The sequence below is a fragment of the Homo sapiens genome, chromosome 11 (assembly GCF_000001405.40).
Source record: "Homo sapiens chromosome 11, GRCh38.p14 Primary Assembly".
Taxonomy (NCBI): Eukaryota; Metazoa; Chordata; class Mammalia; order Primates; family Hominidae; genus Homo; species Homo sapiens.
The window spans coordinates 99,201,172-99,228,984 of NC_000011.10; the positions used below are offsets into that span (position 1 = coordinate 99,201,172).

General features: G+C 33.6%; 1 protein-coding gene across 11 annotated transcripts in view, besides 2 other annotated features; it reads left to right on the forward strand.

Moving 5' to 3' along the window:
• The window catches only part of CNTN5 (contactin 5), a 1,337,937-nt gene that overhangs the window by 180,223 nt on the left and 1,129,901 nt on the right, over positions 1 to 27,813 (forward strand). The gene's annotated exons all lie outside the window — the stretch shown is intronic.
• Positions 22,571 to 22,740: an enhancer, noted in NCBI's record as "experimental_22054 CRE fragment used in MPRA reporter constructs". NCBI's record gives its function as "activates a minimal promoter by MPRAs in K562 erythroleukemia cells, with activity observed for the introgressed 11:99094558 or rs61893092 variant allele {active_cell/tissue: K562}" and the evidence as "EXISTENCE:reporter gene assay evidence [ECO:0000049][PMID:34662402]".
• Position 22,656: a transcriptional cis regulatory region, noted in NCBI's record as "Neanderthal adaptively introgressed variant 11:99094558 (GRCh37/hg19 assembly coordinates) or rs61893092 in the experimental_22054 CRE". NCBI's record gives its function as "modulates activity of the experimental_22054 enhancer by MPRAs in K562 erythroleukemia cells {active_cell/tissue: K562}" and the evidence as "EXISTENCE:reporter gene assay evidence [ECO:0000049][PMID:34662402]".

Sequence of the window (27,813 nt, forward strand, 5' to 3'; positions counted from 1 at the left end):
GCGCCACCATGCCAGGCTAACTTTTTATATTTTTAGTAGAGATGGGGTTTCACCATATTGGCCAGGCTGGTCTCAAGCTCCTGACCCCGTGATCCACCCGCCTCAGCCTCCCAAAGTGCTGGGATTACAGGCGTGAGCCACTGCGCCTGGCCCCTTCCTTCCTTCCTTCCTTCCTTTCCTTTCCTTCCTTCCTTCCTTCCTTCCTTCCTTCTTTCCTTCCTTCCTTCCCTTCTTTCTTCCTTTCTTCCTTTTTTCCTTCCTTCCTTTCTTCCTTTCTCTTTCCTTTTTTTCTTTTCTGTTCTTTCTTCTATTGTGATAGGCAGAACCCACATCTTAATCCTCAGAACAAGAGAATATATTAGGTTACCTGGAAAAAAAGATTGAAGGTTGTGGATGGATTTGGTGATTGCTAATCAGGTGACATTAAGATAAAAACAATTATGCTGAATCATTTGGATGGGCACACTGGAATTAGGTGGGTGCCTAAAAGTGAAAAGAGGATGGCAAAAGTTTAGTCAGTCAAATAAAGATGTAACTATGGAGGAAAGGCACAGAGGATTCAACACTGCTGACTCTGAAGATGGAAGGGGGCTATGAAATAAGGAATGTTGGTCACCTCTAGAAGGAGCAAAGGGCAAGGAAATGGATTCTGCACTAGAGCCTTTAAAAGAAACATAGCCCTGCCAACACCTGGATTTTATTCTAGTGAGACTTTCAACCTAAAGAACAGAAAGATAGTAGACTTGTCTTGTTTAAGCTTCCAAATTGGTGGTAAATTTTTACAGCAGCAACAGGGAACTAATATATCAATGCATGCGTGTTTTGCACAAATATGTCATTCGTATTTAGAAATGCCACATTAAGATGAAATCAGTTTCATATTGCATTCTAAATGATCCTAATAGAAAAATTTTACATGATTTTATGATCAGTTCATTTTTTAATTATTTTGAATCCATAGACTTCTTTTGTATTTCCTTTGACAAATAGTTTGGGGCTTTAAAAAGTTGCTGAGCCAATTACTCATCTAAAAGTTTTTCTGAAGCTCATGGTTTATTCAAGTCATTCAATTAACAATTTAACTCAATTAACATTTACTTAGTGCCTAGCATGCTCATGGCATTACAGAAAATGGAAATGGAAATGACTTTGAAACAATTTATTTTGACCATAAAAATATCAAAGTCCTTTAACATGTAGGTCATGGATTACTGGGCAGTAGTAGCTAAGAGTTCACAGATAATGGCAAACAGATAAAATACTTTCAAATATACAGCAGATTTAACTTTCATTTTGGATTCTTTGCTACCAGAAGTGCAGGAAAAATACTAAAAGTAAAATCAAGGACATCTTAAGATGGCTTTAATTAACATTCTTAGTAATGTAACAAACAGACCTAAGAAATAACAAATTAGTGTCATTAATTTTTTTAATTGTTTAAACTTTGGAATTAAATATTTCACTACTTTAGTTTTTGGGTTGTTTTTGTTTTTTACTATGCAGTACTTAAGAAACAATATAGAAACACAGTCCAAAAACAAAAACACTGTATCTCAGTGACTGTAAACATTGTGGTATGTTTTTAAATATATGTATATAAATAAATATAAATATATATTTTAAGTCATAATTTAATATAGTAAATGCCATTGAATACTTCTAGGTATTAAAATATTTGCCTTTTCTAACTGCCCATATGTTTGAAAATATTTTCAATGGTTTTAAATTGTTAGCTCAGATGTAGGACGCATCCAGAAAAGAGAGACAATAAGTGAGAGAGAAAGAAAAGAAAGAAGAGAGAAAAGAATGAATGAAAGAAAGAGAGAGAAGAAAGGAAGGAAGGAAAGAAGGCAGGCAGAGAGGGAGGGAGGAAGAGAGGGAGGAAGGGAGAAAGGGAAGAAAGGATCCTAATGTCTGTTTAATCTTGTGCCAGAAAATCTTGCTAGGTAGTTTACCTCTTTTAAATATTCATAATAAGAATAACTCTTACCCTAAATATTATTTTTGCAGTCTTTCTGGTAAGGACACTGAGGCTCACAGAGACCCATTGGAGAGACCGTGCCTGCTTATGCAATCATGTTGGTATTTATTTGGAGCACTTAAAAGCCATTCTACACAGAATCATTTGAGCTTCATGGAAGTTTATATTGCTTTATGTACTATTTAACAGCAAATATCAAATAACTAGTTTCACTTTGGGGAAGAAAATTTAGGTGTAATCTACTTTATGAAGGTGATACAGTTCTGAAAATATAAGGATTTTTCACTTGTATTTTACATTTGTATCATATAATAAGTTATAGGCAAATTTACCATCTGAAAAACACTTACAGTAAATCCTTTGTATGTTTAAAGATCTCATTATAAAGGCAATATTAGCTGTAATTGCAGATTTTCATGTAACATTTCTTTTTTTTTTGGGTGGGGGGTGGTGGTGGGACAGAGTATCACTCTGTCTCCAAGGTTGGAGTGCAATGGCGTGATCTCGGCTCACTGCAACCTCTGCCTTCTGGTTCAAGTGATTCTCCTCCTATCAAGTGATAGGCCTCCCGAGTAGCTGGGATTACAGGCATGTGCCAGCACGTCCGGCTAATTTTTTGTATTTTTAGTAGAGATGGGTTTTGCCATGTTGGCCACACTAGTCTTGAACTCCTGACCTCAGGTGATCCACCCGACTCAGCCTCCCAAAATGCTGGGATTACAGGCGTGAGCCACCAAGCCCGGCCTCATATAACATTTCTTAAGGCAAGTGCCATTCCATCTATGTCATATCTCTACTGTTGCTTTTATAAACTTATAAAATTTCTCATTTGAGCCATGACTTGAAAAGATTATAAATTAATCCAAAATAAATTTGCTTCTGTAGTACTCTTCTATATAGACATTTTTAATTTTAAAAGTTTTATCACAACGCTCTATCTCAATACAAATATACTTCATAACAATTTATTGACTTAACATTAAGGAAAAATGTCTGTGCAATTGTTCATGCAAAGGTAATCGTTAATTCTCTCAGATTCTTGAAAGATAAAACATCACAATTCAAAGATTTCATAAAATGCTATTTGTTCTCAATTTCTAAAGCAGTGTTTTTAAATTCTTGACAGAATGGAGACAGAAAAACCATACATATCTAGGTCTGAGAAATACCCCAAATTAATATAGTGTATTGCTCTCCACCTGATACTGTTTTTTGCATACGTGTGACTAAAGAAAATGTTAAGGTTTGAGATCACTTATTCCTTTTTTTCCCCTCTAACAGTTACAAGTCTTCATGTTATTGAACCTAATATTGACATACCTCCTCCCTATTGCAGAATTATTAAACTAGCTCTCAAAGGAAATTTAACATTATAGGGAAAATGATAACTTTCTTTTTTCTTTTGCCATTTTCTCAGAAAATCACGACTAGCTTCTGGCCATGACAAAAGTTATGTCAGCATCATTATGCAACACCTGTGATCAGTGTGCAATGGAAGAGCTTAAGAGCCAGAACTGAGTATATAACTGAAAAGTTTCTATACAATGTTAAATGTGCTGCTCAATCCCCTAAAGTTAAGTAAATGGCCTTCAGTGAGGTTTGAAGAAAGCTCTGCAACAGCATGAATATAGTGGCCTGAGAGCTGGCGTGGAGGTATTCAGATATGAACTCTCTTTGCTTCTAAATATTAAGCCTACAGTTCCTTGCACTTTTATTTCTGAGGCATTTTAAGCTTATTGTGCTGAACAGTTGTGCTTTCTAAGCTTGATTGACATTCCAGAAAATATTGATCCGAGTGTTGGGTGAGCTTACTTTCTATTAAAAAGTGCTCATCACATGGCATTAGGCTCACTCAGTCCAAAATGTCAGAGAATTGCACTTTTTAACAAAAATCTTATATTTATTTTAAAATCAAACTTACCAATAATTTATAATCAGAATTTGAAGTGTAGTATGAACACTTTGCTTCTTTAGAATTGATTTAGAATAAAAATCTGACAAACTCAATAAGCAAACAAACAAACAAAAAAAACTCCAAGAAACCACTGTAAAGAAAAAGTGTTTTCTTGGTCACTGAATAGTATTAAAATTCCCTGGAAAAGGAGAATTTCTTTTAGCAAATCATATTTCTCATATGTTCTTTTATACCTGTTCTGATATAGGACAGCCATTTCCATAACCCTCCCCCTCTAGATCCATCTCTACCTGCTCTAGAAGAGGTTTGCTCTCAAGACCCAGAGCTTACCGAGACTTCCCTTAGCTCCCCAAGATTGTGTCTGCTGTAGCAATACCAGGAAGTAATTCGTTTCTTCCTCGGTTTTCTCTTCTGTTTTACTGGATCACCGTCTCAAATTACTTCCAAAGAAAATGTTTGTTGGACAAAGGGTACAAAGGTTCAACCATGCAGGATGAATAAATTCTGGAGATCTAATGCACATCATTATGACTATAGCTATTGGCACTGCATTGTATACTTGAAATTTGCAAAGAAATTATACATAAAATGTTCTCACACACTCTCTTTCCCACGCAAAAGGGTAACTATGTGAAGTGATTGATATGTTAATTAGCTTGACTGTAGTAAACATTTGACAATGTATATCTATATCAAAAAATTATATTGCATGCCATAAATATATACAGTTTTTATTTCTCAATTGTACATCAATAAAGCTGAAAAAAAATAAAAAGAAAAGGCTCATTGGAGGATTACAGGATTTCTGAATCTTGGCCCTTCTGAAAACATCTTTAGTCTACCATTTTATTGATTGATAGTTTCGCTGGTGATAGACTATATGACTTGAAATTAGTCTTGATCCTCACTTCTGACCTGCTTAGTGCTCTGTGAGGGCAAAGTGGCTTATTTCTTTGCTATGTGCTCCTCTGTGAGGTCTCAAAACTGTCATATTCTTTACATGTCATTAGGAAATTTTACAGCCACCTTTGGTTTTCTCGAGTTTTCCTAGAAATGTCCTGTGTTCCTCTCCACTTTTAACTAATATGAATATACCTAATTTGGGTTTCCTTTGGGATTGTGCAGGTAGATTTATTTCCGAAAGATTTCTTTCTTAGTGGAAAGTGTGCCTGGGTAGGAACTTTGTACAAGTGGGTGGAATATGTACTGTCAGGCTTTGCTTTAGGAGGTATAAGAAAGGACCCTAAGGATAGGCTGTGAGGCAACCCCCACAACTTGAGAATTAGGATGATTCTTCCCATAAAAGAACTTTTCACTTTCCCCAGGTCGTCTCAATGTAAACAAACAAAAATCGGCTGCTTTATTTTGTGTGTCTTTTGTTTTTCACTCTGGTGTTAAAAACTGGGCAGCCTGTGCTCTACAAGCTGAAGTGGGAGATCGAATTCATCAATAAATTTACGTTTTTTCCACCATGATTTTTCTCCTACTATTAGTGTGTTTGTGTATGTGTATGTGACTTTTTCCGGGTTTTGACAAAAGTTCTTACCCACTTACTACTACCTTAGCTGGAACTAAGTATACCTTCTGTTGCAATTTCCAGAGCTTTGGACTTGTATTCTACCTGGTTTGCATGTTTTCTGTGACTTGTTGAGTCTCTTTCACTGAAATATCTTTAAGCAAGTTAAGCAAGGATTTTGGATAACAATTTAAAGTGGTTTTGTCATAATGTTTTTGTATAATTTTAGCAAAATAGTAGAATTTTATTTAACTTTTCTTTTGGCCAAAAGTTTACTTCCGTATGTGACAAATAAAGTAAACCCCAAAAAGCAAACAAAAACCAGCATTCTATTCTGGTTTATTATTTCATCAATAATATCAAATTACTGCCATCTATGAAATGGATGTAGTAATTGTAATTCTCCATACCTAAAATAACATTTTATTAAAGTGGATAAAAATAATTTTTATGGCTGCTAGTCTTAGTCACAAGCAGTATTATTACAGCTCTTACTGTATTCTAATTATTTTTATTTGCTCTTCGAAAATTTATAAGTGGTATTAAAATATAATGACTTGTCAAAATCTGAAATAGGGATACATGAAATCTTTTGATGAATAAAATTAATGTGAATTTAATAATGTTAACACCAATAAAACTGTTTGCAATACTGTACAGGACGCATCTGAAGCATGTACCACATACAATAATTATAGTAGCAGCTCTCTAAGGACTAGAGCACTAGAAACTGTACTGTGCTAATCTGAAATCAGGTGAATTAATCCTCAGAGGAGTCAGGTACCACAGTCTCAAGTAATCAGTAATAATTGTATCATATTGCTGAAGCACACTCCAAGAGCTATGATTTTCCCTACCTGCTGGATTGCCTGCAATGATTGAAATTTGTTAAGCAGTGGCAGAAATTCAGGCCCATGATCAGTGGAAATCCAAGAGTTCCAAATACATAGGTAACATCACTATAACAAGGTTTTTCTATTGTTTTTTTCCTTTGGTTTTAACTTTATGTTTTATAGTAGATGGATTTTGCCAATAATACATTGCTATACTTTGATAACGAATACTCTGAAGTGTTTAAAGAATTGAAAACATCAAAAAATAATTTTGCTTATAACAAAATACAAACATTAAATATTTTTGATAAGAGAACTTACTTATTAGATTTACACTATTTCTCTAACTTTAAAAAGTAGTCTGCATTTCAAGTGGTCTACCATATGGCTGTCTACATCTTAGCATTTTGCAGAAAGTATATATAAAATGAAATGCATATAAAAGTTGCCTGCAGTAAGTAATACTAAAGGCCTGGATTAATGAATTTAGCTCGGCTTTGAGTTATTTCAAATATATCTTTGTTAATAATTATGTACTTCCCAAAGCCATCGAATAATGTTAATTAAATCTCGGCTTAGTTTCACAGTTGTGTTTAATTAGCTCAATCACTTTTTAAAATGTAACAGGCTATTAAAAGAAAGATCTATTGACAGAATGTTGAATGGCAAATTGTTAGCTGCCAGATTTGGTCCCTGAATGGTCATTGGGTGCGTGAAAAAGCAAAAAGCATCAAAATCATAGCATTTATAAACAGGCTTTGTAGCTTAAGAGTTAACTGCATGCAATTCAAATGATTTTCATTCTATATTGGAAGGGAGTAATCCAATGAGTTTAATGGTGTATGTATTATACAGAAGCTTTTCAATAAAGGCAGAAATTACATTTACAGTGCCTTTTCTGTGGTTATTTGAAATATACTTTTATCTAGGCAAACCTTAATTTCTGGCAATATAAAAAGTGCCCTGAGGTAAATATGGACTTTACTCCTGCTTATGAGAAAGTTAAATTAATACCCTAAGGATATGTCCTTTGCAAAGGGTCATACTTATTACCAAGCCATTATAATAATATACACTTTCTTACAAATCTGCAATCGATTTACAAGCAAGATTTCGATTAAAGTTCACTTCCCAAAACATTGGAAAGTAAGCTGTTTGTATTGCACTGTTTATAAACACTTACTTGATTCCCAATTTATCTTTATTTTAGGAAGAGATAGTAAGTCAGAATTATTTTGTTTATTCTAGGAAACTCTCAGTTTTCAAATTTTCAATTAGGAAATGGTGAGGGAAGTGGGATTCAAACACAAGGACATTATAATGATGCCAATCAAAAACAATTTATTAATAACTAAGTAGGCAGCTTTTAAAATTTTTGACTTTCAAAATAATAAAAAAATGCAATTCCTTATTAAATGCAAGGAGGTTACTGGAAGAAATTTGGCATAAAATGCCTTGTTTATTAAAGATTAAGAGAAACAACTGTTTATATTATAGAAATTAAATTACTATTTATTGAGCATATGCATCTCAATTTGCAAGTCACAGTGTAGAATAGAGGCCTATTTAATATGTCATTAAAATATATTTTAATAATGTTGCAAATATAAAATCTATTTTAATAATGTTGCAAATATAAAATCTATTTTAAAATAATGATATTTAACCTTATTTTGCTGTGAATTGACGCTACAGTGTACATTCAGTGCACACAAAATATCAAAACTTTCCATCTAGGATTTAATAAGAGAGAAAAAAATCTGTGGAAGAAACTATGTACATTGAAGAAACTCAAAGGCAGGAGACATGTGTTAGGCCATTCTTGCCTTGCTCTGAAGTAATATCTGTGACCGGGTACTTTATAAAGAAAAGAGGTTTAACTGTCTCACGGTTCTTCAGGCTGTACAGGAAGCTTGTTGCCAGCATCTGCTTCTGGAGGGGCCTCAGGAAGCTTACGATCATGGTGGAAGGCAAAGGGGGAGTAGCTTGGGGAGTCACATGGCGAGACCAGGAGCAAGAGAGAGAGGGGAAAGGTGCCACACTGTTTTAAGCAAGTAGATCTTGCATGAACAGAGAAAGAACTCACTCATCATCAAGGGGATGACACTAAGTCATTCATGAGGGATCCGCCGCCATGATCCAGTACCTTCCACTAGGCCTCACTTCCAACAATGGGGATTACATTGCAACAGGAGATTTGAAGAGAACAAACATCAAAACCATATCAACATATTTATTCACTTTTCTTGGTATTATCTATATTCTACGATTAATATCATGAATAGACAGTCATGAATGAATAGTAATGAATAGACAGTAAATGAATAGACAGTAAATTCTAGATCAGAACGTAATTTACTAATTTACTGCCAATGAACAGACACTAAATTCTAGATCAGAACCTAACTTCGGACTTAGTGCTTCCAAAGTACATCTTTGTCATAGTACCATGCATCTAAAAACCCAGAATTTAAATATTTTACACGTAGACAGAGAAATAGACTAAATCATAGTGTGATTTTATGAAAACAACGAAAACAACTACTTCTTTAGTAATGTAAAACCTATCAAAGTTCCATCTGTGATTTGTCTAAAATAAGCCTATAGCTCCATAGTCAGAACTCCAAAGCTGACAACCTCTTCAATCCTTCAGAAAAGACAATAATGTCTTTTAGAAAGGTTTTAGATTTGCCATGTTCAATTATCTATATTATTGAGCCTACTAACCACCTACTTCTAATGTTGCAACCAGATATCATTCTGGAAATAATCTTTCTTTAACAATAAAATTTTCCATATTAATTTATAGCATGAGAATCCCCATTCCCGTCTTCCATTATTCTCATTTGCACTACCCTAACCTTCCTTCTCAATTTTTGCAATGCTTTCCCTCATAGTACATCATATCATAACATTTAGAACATTTATGTAATGTGAGATATGGAAACTGATTTTAGAGGTCATTTAGTTGGGGAAAGAAAATGTATATCACTTCATATGTTCCAGTAGCAGCTGCCTCTTGGTCTCGGTAGAGAAGAATTCAGAGGGAGAGCTGGCTCAGACTCAGCAGAAAAAGGTCCTCATATGATGGCTTATCTATGTTAGAGATTGGGAAGTAAGAATTGTTTGTATGTTTAGGTATCTTTTAGTTCACTTTGTCTCCGATTTCACATATTATCTTTTGATTTCCCATTCCCTGGTCCAAATACCCTTCTCAAAAAGACTAAAAATATAAAAATATTTTAACGTAATTTTTGTTTAAATCAAATCCAGTGTATAAATTATTATGGCTATGTAAATGTTATGTTTAGCTGTTCCACACCCACATAGTATAATGTGATTACATGTTATTTCTTGGACAGCTTTTGTTTTGCTTTTTTCTGGAGTTAATAATAGCCTAACATTTTCTCCTTGATCATATGCTCTAGAAGGGCAGATAGCAGTCTTTCTTTGGTTCACTGATGTATCCTAAAGTGTCTAGTACAACATATGTTTCTAGTAGACACATATTAAAAACCCAATAAATATTTGTCAAATTAAAATATTAATTTTCAAAGCTCTAATAGAACTATAAAATTCCTGTCTATATAATCAGTCATGCCAGCTAATTCTTTAGTTTCATTTTAATTCTTTGAGACAACATCACTGTCACCTAAAGCTCTCTAAAGCCCTCCTCCCAATTGGGCAGGTTCTTTTTCTTAACCCATTACCAAGATATGATCGTAAAATGTCCCTTTTTATTATCTTGGTAATTTTTGTCTCAGTTTTCTATAAAATCTCTACTTTCCTGATTTTCATGGTATTCTCTTTCTTTGTTTAGTCACTTGTTTTGTTTTGGTGAAACATATTCTTTGTAACCTGCTGTGAAAGGACGCAAAGATAGATTTTTTGGGGGGTTTGTTTTGCTATACTATGTGTCTAAAACTGTGTATTAAAAAGTGGCTAGATATTAAATTCTAGTCTAGACAATTTTTTAAATTTTTGACAGTTCTCACTTCCAGTAGTACTTTTTAAAACTCTGATGCCATGTGAGTCATATGTGACATATTTTGTGATATGACCTTCTGATCTAGAGAACTTGTTATTTGAAAATCTCTATTGTACAATTCTAAAAATTTTTTCTCCTCCTTTTTTTTTCTGAAATAGCTTTTCTTATTTGGAAATAGTATCACTTCATTTAATTATGCAAGTTTCTTCTCTTTTTTTAATCTCTTATTTTAGGTTCTTATTTTTTCATACTTTATCAAAAACTTCCTTACCCTTTTTTCCAGCAGATTTGTTTCATGTTTTTATGCTATCGTATTTTCAGTTTTGAAGCTTGAATTCTTTAAGTATCTCCTTTTAATGTTTTCATAGCACCCTGTTCACTTCATCATGAATACTTTATATGATCATATTCCAGGAAAGACACTTATCCTTTTTAAAAAAGTTATCTTCTGATCTAAGTCTATTCTTTTACTTCTTTCATTTGTTTGGGTTTCTTTACTTTTGATTTAAAAGCTTTCAGTGATAATTTGTTTCATATTTTTTAAATGATACATACTTTTTAAATGTGTTACAAAAAAATGCTTTTTGGAAGTACTGTGTTTTGGAACAACTTTCCGGCCAGTGCAGTTTATTACTGTATGATAAGACAATGAAACTTTTTGTTTGATGGGAAACTCAAATTTAATAAGGCATTTGTTTTCTCACAGGGTACTTTAGTGTCCAGAAAGAATCCTCCAGTTGCTTGCCAGGGCTGGGATATAAGTTGGGTTGCACGTGTTCTGGGAATCAAGCGAGGAAGATAGCAGATCACATCACCATTTTACATAAAAACTTATACAGAGTGCCTATGATTTCACCGGGATGCTTCTTCTCCATCCTAAGCTATACCAATCTCCCCTGAGTCCAGAATCTTTACAGCTTAGTTTTTCCTTACACTATAAATCTAATCCCCAGCATGGGTTGTGGGGGAAGTTGCTTAGGATGATTTCTAAATATTTCTTATAAGTCTTTTGACTATTTCCACTATCGATAATACCTACACTTTCCTTGCACGTCGAAGGTGCTTCTGAGCATCATGCGGTTCTTCTGCTTAAATGATTTCACTTCTTATTATATTCTACTTCTTTTAGCTTCCTGCCCAACCTTTAGAATTTGTTCCATCTTTACAACTTGTACATAAACGGACCTCCCATCTTCTAAATTGTGCTGACATCTTATCACTACCCACCCTTTATTGTATTTATTCTTTTCTATATAATTTTAAAAAATATTTTATGTTATTTAGGGGAATTCTGAAAGATCTGTGATCAATCTATCATAATTTGCTAAAAGTCTTAACACATTTAAAAATTTTAAATATCCATGAGCAGAATGATCATGCTGCAAATGTGATTAGTTAACTAAAATATTAAATATTAACAATATTCAAAAACCTTATAAATGAAGCCCCAAGTGTTAACTGATTTATCAGTAATTACATATAGGCTACATAAAAATATATTTCCTGTCTGGGCGCAATGGCTCAGGCCTGTAATCCCAGCACTTTGGGAGGCCGAGGTGGGTGGATCACGAAGTCAGGAGATGGAGACCATCCTGGCTAACATGGTGAAACCCCATCTCTACTAAGAATACAAAAAATTAGCTGGGCGTGGTGGCACACACCTGTAGTCTGAGCTACTTGGGAAGTTGAGGCAGGAGAATTGCTTGAACCCGGGAGGCGGAGCTTGCAGTGAGCTGAGATTGCACCACTGCACTCCAGCCAGGGCGACAGAGTGAGACTCCATCTCAAAAAAAATTATATATATATATGTGTGTGTATATATATATATTTTTTTCTATATGTATACATATATACATATATATAAAATATATATACATATAATATATATAACATATATAATATATACATATATAAAATATATAAATATATACATATATAAAATATTATATATGTGTATATATGTATATATGTATATACATATATACACGTGTATATATACACATATATGTATATACATATATACACGTGTATATATACACATATATGTATATACATATATACGTGTGTATATATACACACATATATATATATATACACATATATATTTCCTGAGGGTTGGCTCTTTCCTCTGTAGAATTTTGATTTTGTTGAGAGTAGACTTGTAGTCATGGAGAACTTAAAAACAATAAAAACAGAATGTAATAAATTGCTAAATTTCATTATTTAGTCAGGAAAGCCATAGTAGTTTAGGAAAGAGCAAAATTAAAGTATTACAGAATGTCTCAGGTGACTTCCCTTGCCTTGGTGACATGTGTATCTGGTTTGTTACATACTTCTAAGATAGCCTTTGGATTATGCTATTGTCTGCCTAACAGCTGGAATCTATTCAATCAAAGATTATTTGCTGAAATATGAGGCAGAGATCTATCTTTTACATAATCCTAAATATTCTTTTGAATATTTCTACCATGCTGAGAATAAACAAGTACAGTGTTTTATTTTGAGAACAAATTTGGGAACTCAAGTTGATAAAAAGATGGATAATGTATTTAACTAAAATTTTTGAATCATACTATGTGTCATTTTCTCTACTTGATATTAGCAATTGCGAGAATAAAAAAATGCAGTTACTGCTATTAGAGCAGAGGCATGGGCAATGAAACAAGCTACACTTACTTAACAGAGTAAGTATGACAACGGATAGGAGCACACCTGAAAGTGACAATGAAAGAAAGGCTTCCCAGGGGAAGTACAGATTTATCCAAACTCTAAAACTTAACTGGAAGTCAGATGAAGAAGGGGAAATGGTAGTTTGGACAAAGGAACCAGCTTATTCAAATGCACGGAGTCCTGATAAAACATGGAATTGAGGGAAAACACATTTAAGTGTGACTAGACTTTGGGAGTTAGATTTAAAAACCAGACTAGTCTGTGCAAAGCAATTTCAGAAAATTAAGATACCAAAAAATATATATATTATATATGTATATAAATAAATATATATATATATAATGTTCTAAAGCAGTATAGTATAATGGAGTTTTTACCTAGACTAGTTACCAGAAAATGTAACCCTATTATCTCTGTGAACTTTGACAAATCCTTTAATATGTGTAATAAATTTATTGTTTAGGACCTTTTATTTTCTTCCCAGCTTCAATTTCATTGTTAAGATGTTAACCAGAAGAATAAGGCCCAATTGACAGATCTTTTTGAAATTTCAGACACTTTTGCACTTCCCTAGTAATTTGATGGCTCTTAACCAATCTGGTGAAAACTTTTTTCCTATCCACACTGTAGAATGTTTTACACATTACTCTCAATGTAAATTCACTCAATCTTCAGACTGACAAAAAAATTTAGGTTTCAATAAGTCATTTAACAAGGAATTCCAGTGATACCATAAACTTTCATCATCATCCAACTCAGCTACCCTCCTGATGCTTAAATTCTCTCCACAATATTTCTGCCAGTCATCATCTTTATTATGCTTGAGTATTTCAAGTGATACTCAAGTAGTTATTCTCAAGTAAGTCTATGATTAGACTCCTCTGACTGAAAGATTTTCTTGTATCATTCTTTTGGTCATAGGTCTAATTTTCATATCATGAAGTGCCTTTAAAAAAGAAAAAAAAAATGAAGATAATGGGTTTCTAGTGCCTAACCAAGTATGTGGCTCCTTGGCACCCAGAATATAACAGTGATCATTGTCCCATCAATTACTTGAGAATGGAAATTAAACTATACTTCCAATTTTAGGCTTATCTTCTCAGTGTAAAACATCTCACATTCCTGTGATTATGTCTCAGCTGAGATGGTTTTTAGGTCTACTAAAATTTTAGTTTGTTCCAGTTAGTTTTTTACCACTCTTAGAAGGTGGAAAAGTCACCATAGAGCTTCAAACATGGAAACACAGAGAGCAATGAGGAGGCTGCTGACATAATCCAGGACAAGATATTAGAGGTTTTGCTTGGATAACAGCTGAAATGATCAAAGAAACAAATAGATTTCGGAGAATTTGGGTAGTAAAGTTCATAAGACCTCCTAATGGCTTGGAGTATATTTGGAAGAGGCTAAAAGGACTCGATAAGGACTCCATGATATTTGGTTTGAGCAGCTGAGGGGATTGTGGTGCCATTTATTGAGATGAGAAAGATTCTGGGGAATAAATTTTGTTTGGGAATTCAGTTTGAAATGTCTCAAAGATATCCAACAGGAAATCTTAATTAGGATATTCACTGAAGTTGGCTAACAGAAAACCTATTTCCCTTTAAAATCATGATCAGTACCTCAGAAAGGCAGCTAGTCATTTGGAGAATTGTACTACATTTTCTTTATCAGTTTGCTCTACTACTCTCTCAGACTGGTGCTTTTCAAAAGTAATGTGAATGGAAATCACTGGGAGATCTTGTTCAAAGGCAGGTTCTGAAAATCTGGTGAGATGCTTAAGCATCTGCATTTTTTTCACTTTTAATTTTGTTATTATTAATCGTCAGTGCATAATGGTTGTATATATTCATGCGGTGCATGTGATGTTCTGATACAGGAACACACTGTGTAATGATCAAATCAGTATCCATCACCTCAAGCATTTATCATGTATCTGTTACAGAAACACTGCAATATCATTCTTTTAGTTATTTTAAAATGTACAATAAGTTATTGTTAACTATAGTCACTCTATGATGCTATTGAGTTGTAGATATTCTTCATTCTACCTAACTGTTATTTTTGTACCCCTTCTTCCCCACTATCCTTCCCAGCCCTTAGTAACCATCATCCTACTCTCTATCTTCATAAGTCCAGTATTTTTTAGTTCCCACATATAAGTGAGAACGTGTGATATTTGTGTTTCTTTGTCTGGCTTATTGTATTTAACATAAAGGCCTCCAATTCTATCTGTGTTGTTGCAAATGACCGGATTTCATTCTTTTTTAGGGTAGAATAACATTTCATTGTGTTATACAGGCCATATTTTCTTTACCCATTCATCCACTGATGGACACTTAGGTTGATTCCATATCTTGACTATTGTGAATAGTGCTACAGTAAGCCTGGGAGTGCCGATATCTCTTAGATACATTCGTTGCTTTTCTTTTGGATATATACCCAGCTGTGGAAATGCTGGATCATATGATCTATCATATGCTGGATAATATAATCCATCATACGCTGGATAATATCTTTAACTAGCTCCTATTTATTTTTGTCTATGTATAAAAATTAATATGGATTAAATACTTAAATCTAAGACCTGAGACTATGAAACTACTGGAAGACAACATTGGGGAAACACTCCAGGACATTGGTCTGGGCAAATATTTCCTGAATAAGACTTCAAAAAACACAAGATACCAAAGCAAAAAAGGACAAATGGGATCAGAGAAAGCTTCAGTTCAGGAAAGGAAATAGTCAACAAAGTGAAGAGGCAACCCACAGAGAGGGAGAAAATATTTACAAACTACCCATCTGATAGGTGATTAATAATTAAAGTATACGGCCAGGCGCGGTGACTCATGCCTGTAATCCCAGCACTTTGGGAGGCCGAGGCAGGCAAATCGTGAGGTCAAGAAATCGAGACCATCCTGACCAACATGGTGAAACTCCGTCTCTACTAAACATACAAAAATTAGCCACGTGTGGCATGTGCCTGTAGTCCCAGCTACTCGGGAGGCTGAGGCAGGAGAATCACTTGAACCTGGGAGGCAGAGTTTCCACTGAGCCAAGATCGCACCACTGCACTCCAGCCTGGGCAACAAAGCAAGACTCCATCTCAAATAAATACATAAATAATCAAAGTATATAAGGAACTCAATAGCTCAATAGGAAAAAAACAAATAATATGAGTAAAATATCGGCAAAAGATCTGTCTTAAGACATTTATCAAAAGAAGACACACAGATGGCCAACAGTTATATGTAAAAACTGTCAACATTACTAATTATCAGAGAATGCTGATCAAAACAATAATGAGATATCATCTCACCTCAGTTAAGTTGACTTGTATCCATATGATAGGCAAGAATGAATACGAGCAAGGGTGTGGAGAAAGAGGAATCCTTGTACACTGTTGGTGAGGATGTAAATTGGTATAGCCACTATACAGAACAATATGGATAATGCATTTTTCTTTATGCTCGCAGGTGACATCAATGCTATAGATCCTCAGATGCACTTTGAGTAGCAAGGTCTGAGTTAGACAAGTCTTTCCCACTTAAATTTGCATGCCCTGATGTTCCTTCCTCACTCTCAGCTGAGTGTGTCTTACTGTGACTTATTTCAGGAGAAAATAGAAGAGAAGAAGAGAATTTTCACATGCTTGTACCATTAAATCTACCAACCCACTCATCTAGTAGGTTTTCTCTCTTTTAAAAATGGGCTTTTACATAAGGCCAATCCTTCTGCTTATTTGCTAGATTGCATCCCCTCTCACTTTCTCAAAGGCATCAATCCCATAATTGCTACCTCCTTTCCAAGCATCATACATTTTTACATTTTACTGAATCATTCTCTTTAGCATAATTAACATGCTAAGATAAACGTTAGCTTAAAATAAAAACAAAGAAGTTTTGATACTCCCTATTTCTTTGCTTCCTTTTAGTGTAAAACTTTTCACAAAAAGATTACATTTATTTTCTCCAATTGCTTTTTTTCTGTTTTATGGTGGTAGTTCTAGCAGTAGCTACTGTTAAGATCAATGATCCTTCCTTTGCCAAATCTAATGGTGGATTATCTGTTCTCATGTCACCTCGTGTATGAAGGTTATTTTCGTAGTTCTATTTATAATACTATCTTCCCTTGGACTCTGTGACATCAACTTCCCTTTGATTTTCCTTTGACTTAATGTGTTTGTCTTTTCTGCCTTTTTGCTGGCTCCTCATTCTCTTTTGACCTCTAAATTTTAAGTTACTTTTGAGCCAAGTTCCAGGACCTCTTATTTTCTACATCTATATACCAACCCTCTAGGTCAACTCATATTATTTCATGCCTTTAAATACTACATGTGTTCTTGATTTCTAGAAACACACCTTCAGCCGAGGTTTTTCCACTGACCTAAAGTCCTGTATGTTGACTGGGTAATTTATTGTCCAAACGAGGACACTTTAGAATGTGAAGATGGGGGATTATTATTAATTATTCTGAGAAAACACATGTAAACCAGGACAACCACTTGTCTAAGCAGTTTTATGCAATCAGGGGTATATCCAATTGCCTACTCACCATTATGTATTTGGGTTTTGGGATAAAGATAGCTAGCTGTTCACAAATACCTATTTTACTCTTCTGTAGTACTAGAACCCTGAATTTGCAGCTGGTTACAAGACCTGATAGAATAAGAACTGAATTTCCAAACCTCTTTTGTATTTTATGTGGCAATGTAACTAATTCTGGACAATACAATGTAAGGTTAGTTGGTGTATGGAACTTCTAGGATTTGCCTTAAATGTAGGAGATGTGCATTTCTTTGACCGCTTTCCCTGTTCTGATGCTTAGATTATGAAGGTAGGAGCCATTTAGAATCTCTTAGTAGAAGCCATACATTGAGGAAATCAGTACAAAAAGATAGAAGACGCTTAGATTTTGATACTGGTAAGCCCCTGGACTGCTTTAATATGAAATAAAAATAACACCCATCTTATTATTGCCTTTGTTAATTTACCATTCATTGCAATGAAACCAAATCCTCACTAATAGAGGGGCTTAACATTTATTTATATATTCAACAAATATTTACTAAGTGACTGATACTATTCTAGGCATTTGGGATACAATAATGAACAGATAAGTGGGCCCTTCAGAGCTTACAGTTTGCAAATATTAACATTCTGGAAGTATATTCTAATGAAAGATTTACATACTAAATATTAAATAGTATACTATATAAAGGTAATAAAGCCAAAAGTAAGAGAAAAAGTAAAGATTGCTAAAGAGGCTTAGAAATTCTGGCCATAGGGGTGATTTCTTAATTGGGATAGACTTCTCAAGCAGATAATTGTGAGCAAGGAGGTGGATAAGGTGAGTAATTTTGCCTATGAATCTATCTGGAGGAAAGCCATCCTAGGCAGAGCTGAGAACCATACAGAGGCCTTAAGTTAGGAGTATTCTTATTCTACAAAACATAAGGAAGCTAGTACAGCTGGTATTGGTGTTTATAGAATGATATCAGAGATGAGGTTTAGAGGTGATGGAGAGCCACATACATCTTTCAGCACTTGTAGACCATGGCAAAGACTTTTTTGTCTTACTTTGAGTAAGATTAAAAAAAAAAAAAACTATTGCAGGATTTTGAGCAGAAAACTGACATGGTCTGTCTTAGATTTTAAAGAATTTCACTAGCCATAATGTGAGAATGTACTATGAGGGTAGAGGGTATGGGGAAAGGATAGAAGCAAGGAGACCAGTTTGTAGATTACGGCAGGAATCGAGATGAGAGATGATTATAAAATCAAAAAGTCTTAAATATCATGCTTAATTTCTCATCTCTGCCTTATTGAAATAGCTTCTTCTGCAGGCTTCTGTATTTCTGTAAATAGAAACTTTGCTCCTCAAAGAGACTGGGTCTAAAACTTTGGGCTCATTTGGAATCATTCAGAGATAGGAACACAGAGAAAATGGCAATACATAGATCTTCATGCAACTTGTTCCAGACACTCATTCCTGTCCTTTCCAGTTTTGTTGGATCAGCCACGTTGCAATTATGCATGATAATGCAACATTCTCCCAATAAGTTCTTCTCCATTTCTAAGCTCGTTTACACTGGATTTCTATTATTAGAACACATTTTGTTATGAAAGTCTTCACAATTACATATAATTACAGGTCACTAACACTTGCTAACTTGAAATAAAACATGATTTTTATTAACTGGCCATTTCCTAAGTTCCTGTGCTTTGCCATTGTAATACAGATGTTAAAAATAAAAACACTGACTTTTCTTTTCTCTCTTTAGAAATAAAAATTAAGTTTATACTACTTTTGATTATTTGCTTACATAAATATTACTGCCACAAGGAACTATGAATTACGATGTAGGAAAACAATTTTATATTTACAAATAGCCATGGTCTCTTAAATGCATGATACTCCTTGCCTGAAATATACTATACCAATAAATTAAAAACCACAATTAAATAAATGCAAGATCAAAAATCACGATTTTCCATGAAATAGAGGAAAGTCATTACAAAAGTTATATTTTTAAAAATCCATTACTTTTACTTGCATTTTTCCAGCTGACACCAAAAGAGCACACTTAAGTTCAAAAGGAACTTATATAATTTTACTTTTGGATTTTGAAGTGGCACAAATCAAAAGGTCTGACTAGGAGGGCCAGATTAATGCTTTGGAGACACTACACACAGAAAATATTGTGTTGTGTTCTCTTAACCCATACAAATCAACCTGACGCAATACAAAAGTATAAATGTAAGCCACTCAAATAATTCTAAATTTTCACCTTATGAAAACAATGATTTAAAAAAAAAATCAGCTTTTTAGTCTACTAAGTGGGTTGTCCAATGCAGAAGCAGAAGAAAACCATTTCTGGAATTGCCCCACTTGTCCTGAAATTTATACAATTTACAGATACTGTAAAAGATTCAGCAAGTAGAGGAATGATTCAATTTGTTGGAAATGTTCTTCTCTGAGTGAGATAGAGAGCTATTGCAGGATTCAGAATTAAGATCCAGAGGGTTAAACACAAACCAATTAACAATTAGGAGATTTTCATTATTAAACTCCCTGTCACTGTAAGTCTAGAATTCAAACAAGTATAACTTTGATAATTTTTATTCATTTATGAATCACTCTATATTTTTTAATAATTTTAATTTGACTTTGAAAGGATTTAATATATTTCTAATTCATGTAATTGACAATGGAGAATTAATCTGAGGAAATAATTGGATTTTCTCAGGCTATCTCAGAGACACAGGTAACAGATGAAAAATTATTTTCCTTTAAAGTCCTATACTTTAGCTTACTACAGAATACCTCTGATATTATGATTTGTTTCTTGTTTAAAAATTGGAAAAGTAAAATAGATTTACACATAATGTTACAGTTATCTGAACCTGGTTTTGGGTCTCCAGGGTGACATAAATGTCACATGAATTCATACAAGAACAGATTTTCAGTTTATTCCCCTGATGGAAAAAAATGTTAATAGATATGCCACTTTTTAACTGTTGTATTAAAATTAATAATCATAGCCTTTTTAACTTTCTGTGTCCCAGGAGTATGGTTTACGTTGGAGTACATTCTATAAGTTGAAAAACAAAATAATAATAATTACCTATAATGATCTCCAAATACTCATGCCTTTTGTATTAATTTACTCAGAGGAGTAATTTTGAACTAACATATACAAACACTTCGTAAACAATTAAGGAATTCTGGGAAATAAATTTAGTAAAAGCTCTCATTCTATTTGTGGCTATAAAATACACATATATACAGCACAAGATTCACATTTTTATTATCAATATTTCTCTTACTTTTACTTTCATCTACTGGAATATATGACCAGGAAACAATTGGACAGCAATTTTAAAACACTGCTATGTAAGCAGATTTATGTAAGTGATAAAAAGATACACATACTTTTTTTGTCTTCAGTAACTTGTCTTTTAGACTAATTCATCCTCATGTATTTGCTTACTGATGTCACATGTATTTAGATTTACAAAAATTTAGACTAAAGCAACAAAAAATACCTATTGCTTGGTTTTTTATGTTGCTTGCTAAAATATTTGCATTTTATAAATGTGTAATGAATGTATGTAATTAATATAAATTAAGTCTAAAATTTATAGACATATAGATTATATCCATCGATACAAACATGAAAATTGTGCAATAAAACATAAGAAAATGTTTATACATATAGATAAATACAATATAAAAGGAAGGAAGTAGGGAAGGAAGGATAAAGGAAGGAAGAATGGGGGTTGGGGGGACAGGAAAAATGTATTAACTCATGAATTAACCCAAGAGAAAAAAATGTAATAGTGTCAAAAAACTCACTAAACTTTCTTTGATATGGAAATTGCTCAGATGGTTTATATATGTATGGTCCCAATTTTACATATGATTAAAATAGAATTTTCAAATCAACCTTATGAACATTTTCAAAAGGTAAATAAAATGAGATGTTATTTATTACATTTATAAGTCAAAGCAGCATAGCATTTTTCATTTATAAACCATTGCATTTTTCATACCAATTCAAAGTGAAACATGTCAGTACTCAGACAATTTGTATTAAATTTATGGCCCACATTTCTGGATTTGTTATTTAAATTATAATTAATTTGAATCGTAATGCAGGATATAAAGTTTCTGTGGAAAAATTACTTCTGTGTTTCAAGTCAATTATTTAAAGTGTATTTCAAGTTTATTTGTATTCTTCCTTGTCTAGTCGCCATTCTTAATAACTGTTTTGATTGATTTAAGTGTTCTTTAATACTAGGCACCAATAAGATCTATTTATTAGATGTATAACCGTGAACACACAAAAATGATTCTATTCCCTCTTGGTCAACGTACACTTTCCCTCAGGAGTATCAATAGTGATCATGGCCCTCTAAATCTCTGCTGCAGCTTCCAATGCCTTCATCTTTTCTTTTCCAAATGAGAGAGGAGTGGGCTTGAATCTACTAGCAAATCAGATGCAGTGCCTACCATGGTACACTTTGCATGTAATTAGGGACCAGACCTTGTCGATAGCAAAGCCCTCTCTGCCCACACACTTCATCCTACCCTATATTATCCTATCCTATTCTGTTCTATCCTGTCCTACCTATCTGTGTACATCAGAGAAAAAACATGGATTCTTCTTCACAGCTATTATGTCAGTAGCAGAGGATAATGGGTCTAAATAATCTTAACTCATCCACATTAAGTTATTTAGGTAAAACAGTTCAATAAATGATGACGTAGTTCTTACTTTGTGCTAACATCAATATAAAATTATCTTTGGATTCATTTTGAACCAAAATATACTTATTTCTTAAAATTTGAAAAATAGTAGGGTTCTAATCAATTGTGTTTTCTATTTCTTTCTCTCTCTTTTTCCTAAAGTCAGTAGTAATAAACTGCGCTTCAAATTCACTTATCTTTTGTAAAAAGAAAAGTACAAGGAGTTTTAAGTAGAATCACAGAATCATAGGTGTGAAAAGTTAACGTTATCTTAAGCAATGCTTGAGCCCTGTTTGCATCATTCCAACAAAATAATCTGTCTTATACTTGAGAGGCTCTAATTACATAGAAGTCCCCATTATTCCAGGAACTCATTCCATTGTCTGAAAACAGTAATCACCACAAAGTTCTTTCTCACAGGTGAAAATCTACCCTCTAAAGCTTCCTCTCATTTATAGCTTCATCACATAAAAACAATTATATTCATTCTAAATTCTGCTGCCATGTGCAAGCTCCTCAAATATTTGGAGGACCTCTTTATGTCCTCTCTGGATGTTCAGTTCTCCAGGTAAATATTTCCAGTTCCCTTAACCATTCATTATAGGACATTGTTGTCCAAGTATACTCATTCCTTGTGGTCCATATAAATGTTTCTTCTCCGCATACACTCTTAATTCCAAATAGAGAAAAAGAAGGAAACTTCAGCATTCCTAACAAAAAGCTAACTACAGAGAACACAGTTCAATGCACCCATCACAATTGGAACAATACTTTAAGATAATGCAATAAATGCCCGATAGAAGGACTGCAGATAATGTAATAGAAATGTGAAATATTTTACATTTTATTCCATAATTTAGCTGAGAGAGCTTCTGAAACACTCTTTCTAGAAGTCAAAAAACAGAACTATATTTCTATTTTTCTTTTTACGTATTTCGATGTTATACCAGCATTATGCAAATGACAAGTGCATGCAATGTAAGCAATTATTATCTTAGGGAGATTTCAGCATTGCCACTACTGTTTGCATCCTGTATTTATTATATGGTAGCACAAGTAAACTTCCAAGTAGCTACCTATGAATAGCAAAAATAAGATCAGAACTTCAACATAATAACCACTTATTTCAGTGGAAATAACTGAAGTAACTTAAGTGACACTTCACACAAAATTTTCAGTTGCTTCAAGATGGTATCTGTAATGAATGCATTGAGGTGTAGCACGGGCGTCATTACTTTAAAGATGGAATCACTCATTGTGCCAGCTGGTGAGAATGATCATGACTAACAGCTAGCTATCTTCCAGATTAAAGAGTCTCGTCTCCCAAGGTTGCATTTTTTTTTTTTTTTTTTTTGAGACAGTCTTGCTCTGTCACCCAAGCTGGAGTTCAGTGCCGTGATCTCGGCTGGGTGCAACCTCCACCTCCCAGATTCAAGTGCTTCTCCTGTCTCAGCCTCCTGCATTTTCTTTTCAAGGTAACCCACATCTGATGACTGATCAATGCAGAAACATAACAACCCATCCCTTGGGTCTGGGATGATTCCCATGTATTTATTTTGAAAAACTGGAAGGTGGACTCACAACTTTCAGCAACAGGAATGACTTTAAGACCCAGTTTGGACATTTTAGAGGATTAATTTTGGAGGGACTAGCAGTAGCTTTTCCAAAGAGAGACGTCTTGAAGTTAGAAGGAAATTAAGTTTGGAATTGAGAGAAGGACTAGAGTTGGACAATATATATTTTAAAAGTTTTATTAGAAATGACATTTACAAAAATGAGACTAGATGACATTTTAAAGAGAACGAGCACAAATAAAAAATGAAAGAGGTGTTACAAATGTATGGATTAAGGAGATGAAGAGTAATCGGCAGAAGAACCTGAGTTGGAATAGAAAGGTAGGCAGAAAATGAGGCAGGATGAGATCGTGGCCCTCCGTGTGACAATGTGAAGCCTATAGCAACAGGGCGCTATAGGCCTGCGAGAGAAGAGTGAAAGAAAGCATGGTTACCGCTGGAAAGGCTATTGCCTTTTTGTGTTTGTTTCTTTATTGGCCTTTTTCTGTTTGTTTCCTTATTGGCCTTTTTGTGTTTGTTTCTTTATTTTACAACATAATTTTTCACGCAGCAGAACCAATTCCCTACTGATTCAGTAGATGGGCTTTGCTTAATAATCCCTTAGATAATCATTACATTCTATCATGAGAAATCCGCCTATCTGTTGGATAGGCACCAAACATTCCAACTAACTGTGCTTTTGACTGACCAGGACTTAAAATCTTTGGGGGCACTCCTTAAATTCTCACTACCAAATCTGCATAACAATGATCATACAGTGTTGATGTGGTGTTCTGATGAAGCTATAGTTACTTTTGTCATTAATTAATGCTCTCTAAATGCAATTTAATGATATTTTTCTTTTATATACATGGTTGAAAATATAGATGAAATATAGCATTGATATAGACATTTTGGTACATTCTTTTGATGAAAACATTTTGTTCTGTTTATTTTATTTCATAACACATATTTCAAATGTCCAAATGGATAAGGATGCAAAGTCTTTGTTCTACAGTTAAACATGTAATGTCATAAATTCATGGAAGAGATTTATTTTGACTCATAATAAATGAGGAAGTATCAAAAAAGACCACTTAGTGCTAGAGTTGATAATCATTTTACTAAGGTACATAAAATCATTTGAAGTCATCGTACAAATAAGTATATTTTAGAATGACTTACAAACTATTAAGCAAATTTAAGAGATCATGATATTTGACTGGAAAAATCATGGGTAGAATGTCTTAAGTGGTTTTAAAATATGGCTATATCTCTTAAAAGGGCCTTAGGCTCTGGCAAAGTAACTAGAAATGAATTACAGTTAATCTATGAAAGAATTTTAGTCTTAAATGTGAAATGTAAGAGGGTGCTAGCAAACTAAGAGACACTAACGTGAGGGTCTTTAGGATCCCCCTTCACATATTTTCGTATACATTTGTGGACTATAGATGTGGCACCAAATATTTATTAATTCAACATAGTTTAAAAATACAGGTCAAATCTACTTTCCTGTACAAACAGGTGACTTTGAATGATATTCAAGTCAGTGCACATTCTTACCAATCAACTGTGCAATTACCTTGCGCTTCGTATCTTCTGGCTCTGTACCTGACCTCATTTGTACTGTCTTTCCCTTACATATCTAGGCAGAAAGCCTCCCTACCAACTGTACCTCGATAACAGGCCATATTCATCATGAAGTCTTGTTTTGAAATCACAATTAAACTCCACTATGATTCCATAAAACATATGTAGTATCTTCACTATAGAAAAATCTACCTTGTGACTGGTAGGACTATTTCTTCTCCCTCTAAATAATAAGTTCCTAATAGGCAAAGATCACCTGTATAAGGTGTGTTCCAATCTACTCACTTTCTGTTTCTTATATTATTTGATACATGCTAAGGGTGCTCAATAGATTTTTTTGTTGAATTCAATTAAAATTCGTACAAAACAGAGCTCCATGCTAACATACCTTTTCTAGCTGTGTGATATTATTAGGTGAGCTAGTAACTTTCTTGATCATTAGTTACCTCGTATACAGATAATGTTAAAATATCTACGTATAAATCCCATAAGGATTTCACAGTACGACAAATTTAAAATAATTATCACAGTATCATTCACATAGTAGTGGAGAATAATTCAAGAGATGTTAGTTCTCTTACTGCAAAACAGCTCTTAAAATTATGATAAGGTGGCCACACGCAGTGGCTCCTGCCTATAATCCCAGCACTTTGGGAGGCCGAGGTGGGTGGATCACGAGGTCAGGAGATCAAGGCCATCCTGGGTAGCATGGTGAAACCCCGTCTGTACTAAAAATACAAAAAATTAGCCAGGTGTGGTGGCGCTTGCCTGTAATCCCAGCTACTCAGGAGGCTGAAGCAGGAGAATCACTTGAACCCAGGAGGCAAAGATTGCAGTTAGCTGAGATGGCACCACTGCACTCCAGCCTGGGGGACAGAGCGAGAATCTGTCTCAAAAAAAAAAAAAGAAAGAAAAATTATGATAAGCCTAATAAAATTGTTTGCACTATATGGCCTCAATTTATCGTGTAGAGGAAATTATGTTAGAAACAAAGCTAAAAACTCTTCAACTCAAAAGAATTACTAGTGATTTGGTAATAGAAATTCATTTACGTCTAGGTAAGTTAATCATTTCAACATGCTGATAAAGGAAAACAAAACTATTTCTGAACAATTTTATATACTCTTTGTTTTAAAAATTCTTTAACATGAGGAAAACTCTTTTGTCCTTGTGCTTCAATGCGTTATCAATAATAAAGAAGGGGCTTAATATAAAATGTATCGTTTGAATTCAAGATTATTTGAATTTTAAAAAGGTACTTTTCTTCCAGCTATATAAATTGCAGAAAACTTAGGAAACACAGAAAAATATACAGCAAGAGGAACAATATATAATTTTTCAATTCAGGGATATGTGATACTAATGTTTTATTGTCTTTTTTATTTAGCTTATAGATTTATGATGTAGTTACACTTAAATATACGTGAGTATGTATCTATATTGATTTATACGCACTATTGAAATTTTATCTCAGTATACAAAGTGGATATTTTCCCACATCATTAAACATTTTGGTAATGTAACATTAATTCTTATGTGACATTTTACTATGTATTGTACCATCGCTTGATCTGTTGCCCAGTTGTTGGATATTTTCACTTTTTTTTTGAAACTGTAAAGAGAATTACGTTATATATTCTGACACATAACCATAATCTACATTTCTGATTGTTTTACTGGTTCCCAAGAAATGGATTTACCTGTATGAATATGTGAACTTTTGAGATATTATTTTATATAGATGTATTAATATAAGTTCCTAATGTGAACTTCCTTATCCAAAAGTTGATTTATGCAGGTAGAGAGTGGATGCAGGTAGAGAGTAGAATGATAGTAGAATGATAGATACTAGAGGCTGGCAAGCGTCTGTGTGAGAGGAGTTTAGCACACAAAGAAAGATTGGTTAACAGGTACAAAAATACAGTTAGAAGAAATAAGTTCTAATGTTTAATAGCAGAGCAGGGTGATGGTTAATAGCAATGTATTGTATATTTAAAAATAGCTGGAAGCAAGGACTTGAAATGTTCGCAGCATATAGAAAGGATAAATACTCCAGATGATAGATACCCTAAATACCTTGAATCGATCATTACACAGTCTGTGTGTGTAACAAAATGTTACATGTACCCCTAAATGTATAAATATCATGTGTCAATTAAAAAGTTAAAAAATAGCCTTTATGACAATACAGTCTTTACTAATTTTAAATATTATTCTTTTTTTATATTTCTTTGAAGTTAGAGATTTTTTCCTAAGTTCATATGCTATTTAAATTGTTTTGTTTTTAATACTGGTATTTTGATTATCTTATGAGAGCTAATCATATATCACTACTTAATTATATACATTAACTCTTTCTCACATTTATGGCAAAAATATTTCAGACTTTTTAATGATGGCATTTTGTGCTGTGCATTCGTTAATACTGTATATATTTCACAGTACTGGTTTTATTTCTTTATGATTGTTTTGCCTTTATATTTTATCCTTGCTTGTATATTTTACATACATTTATAAA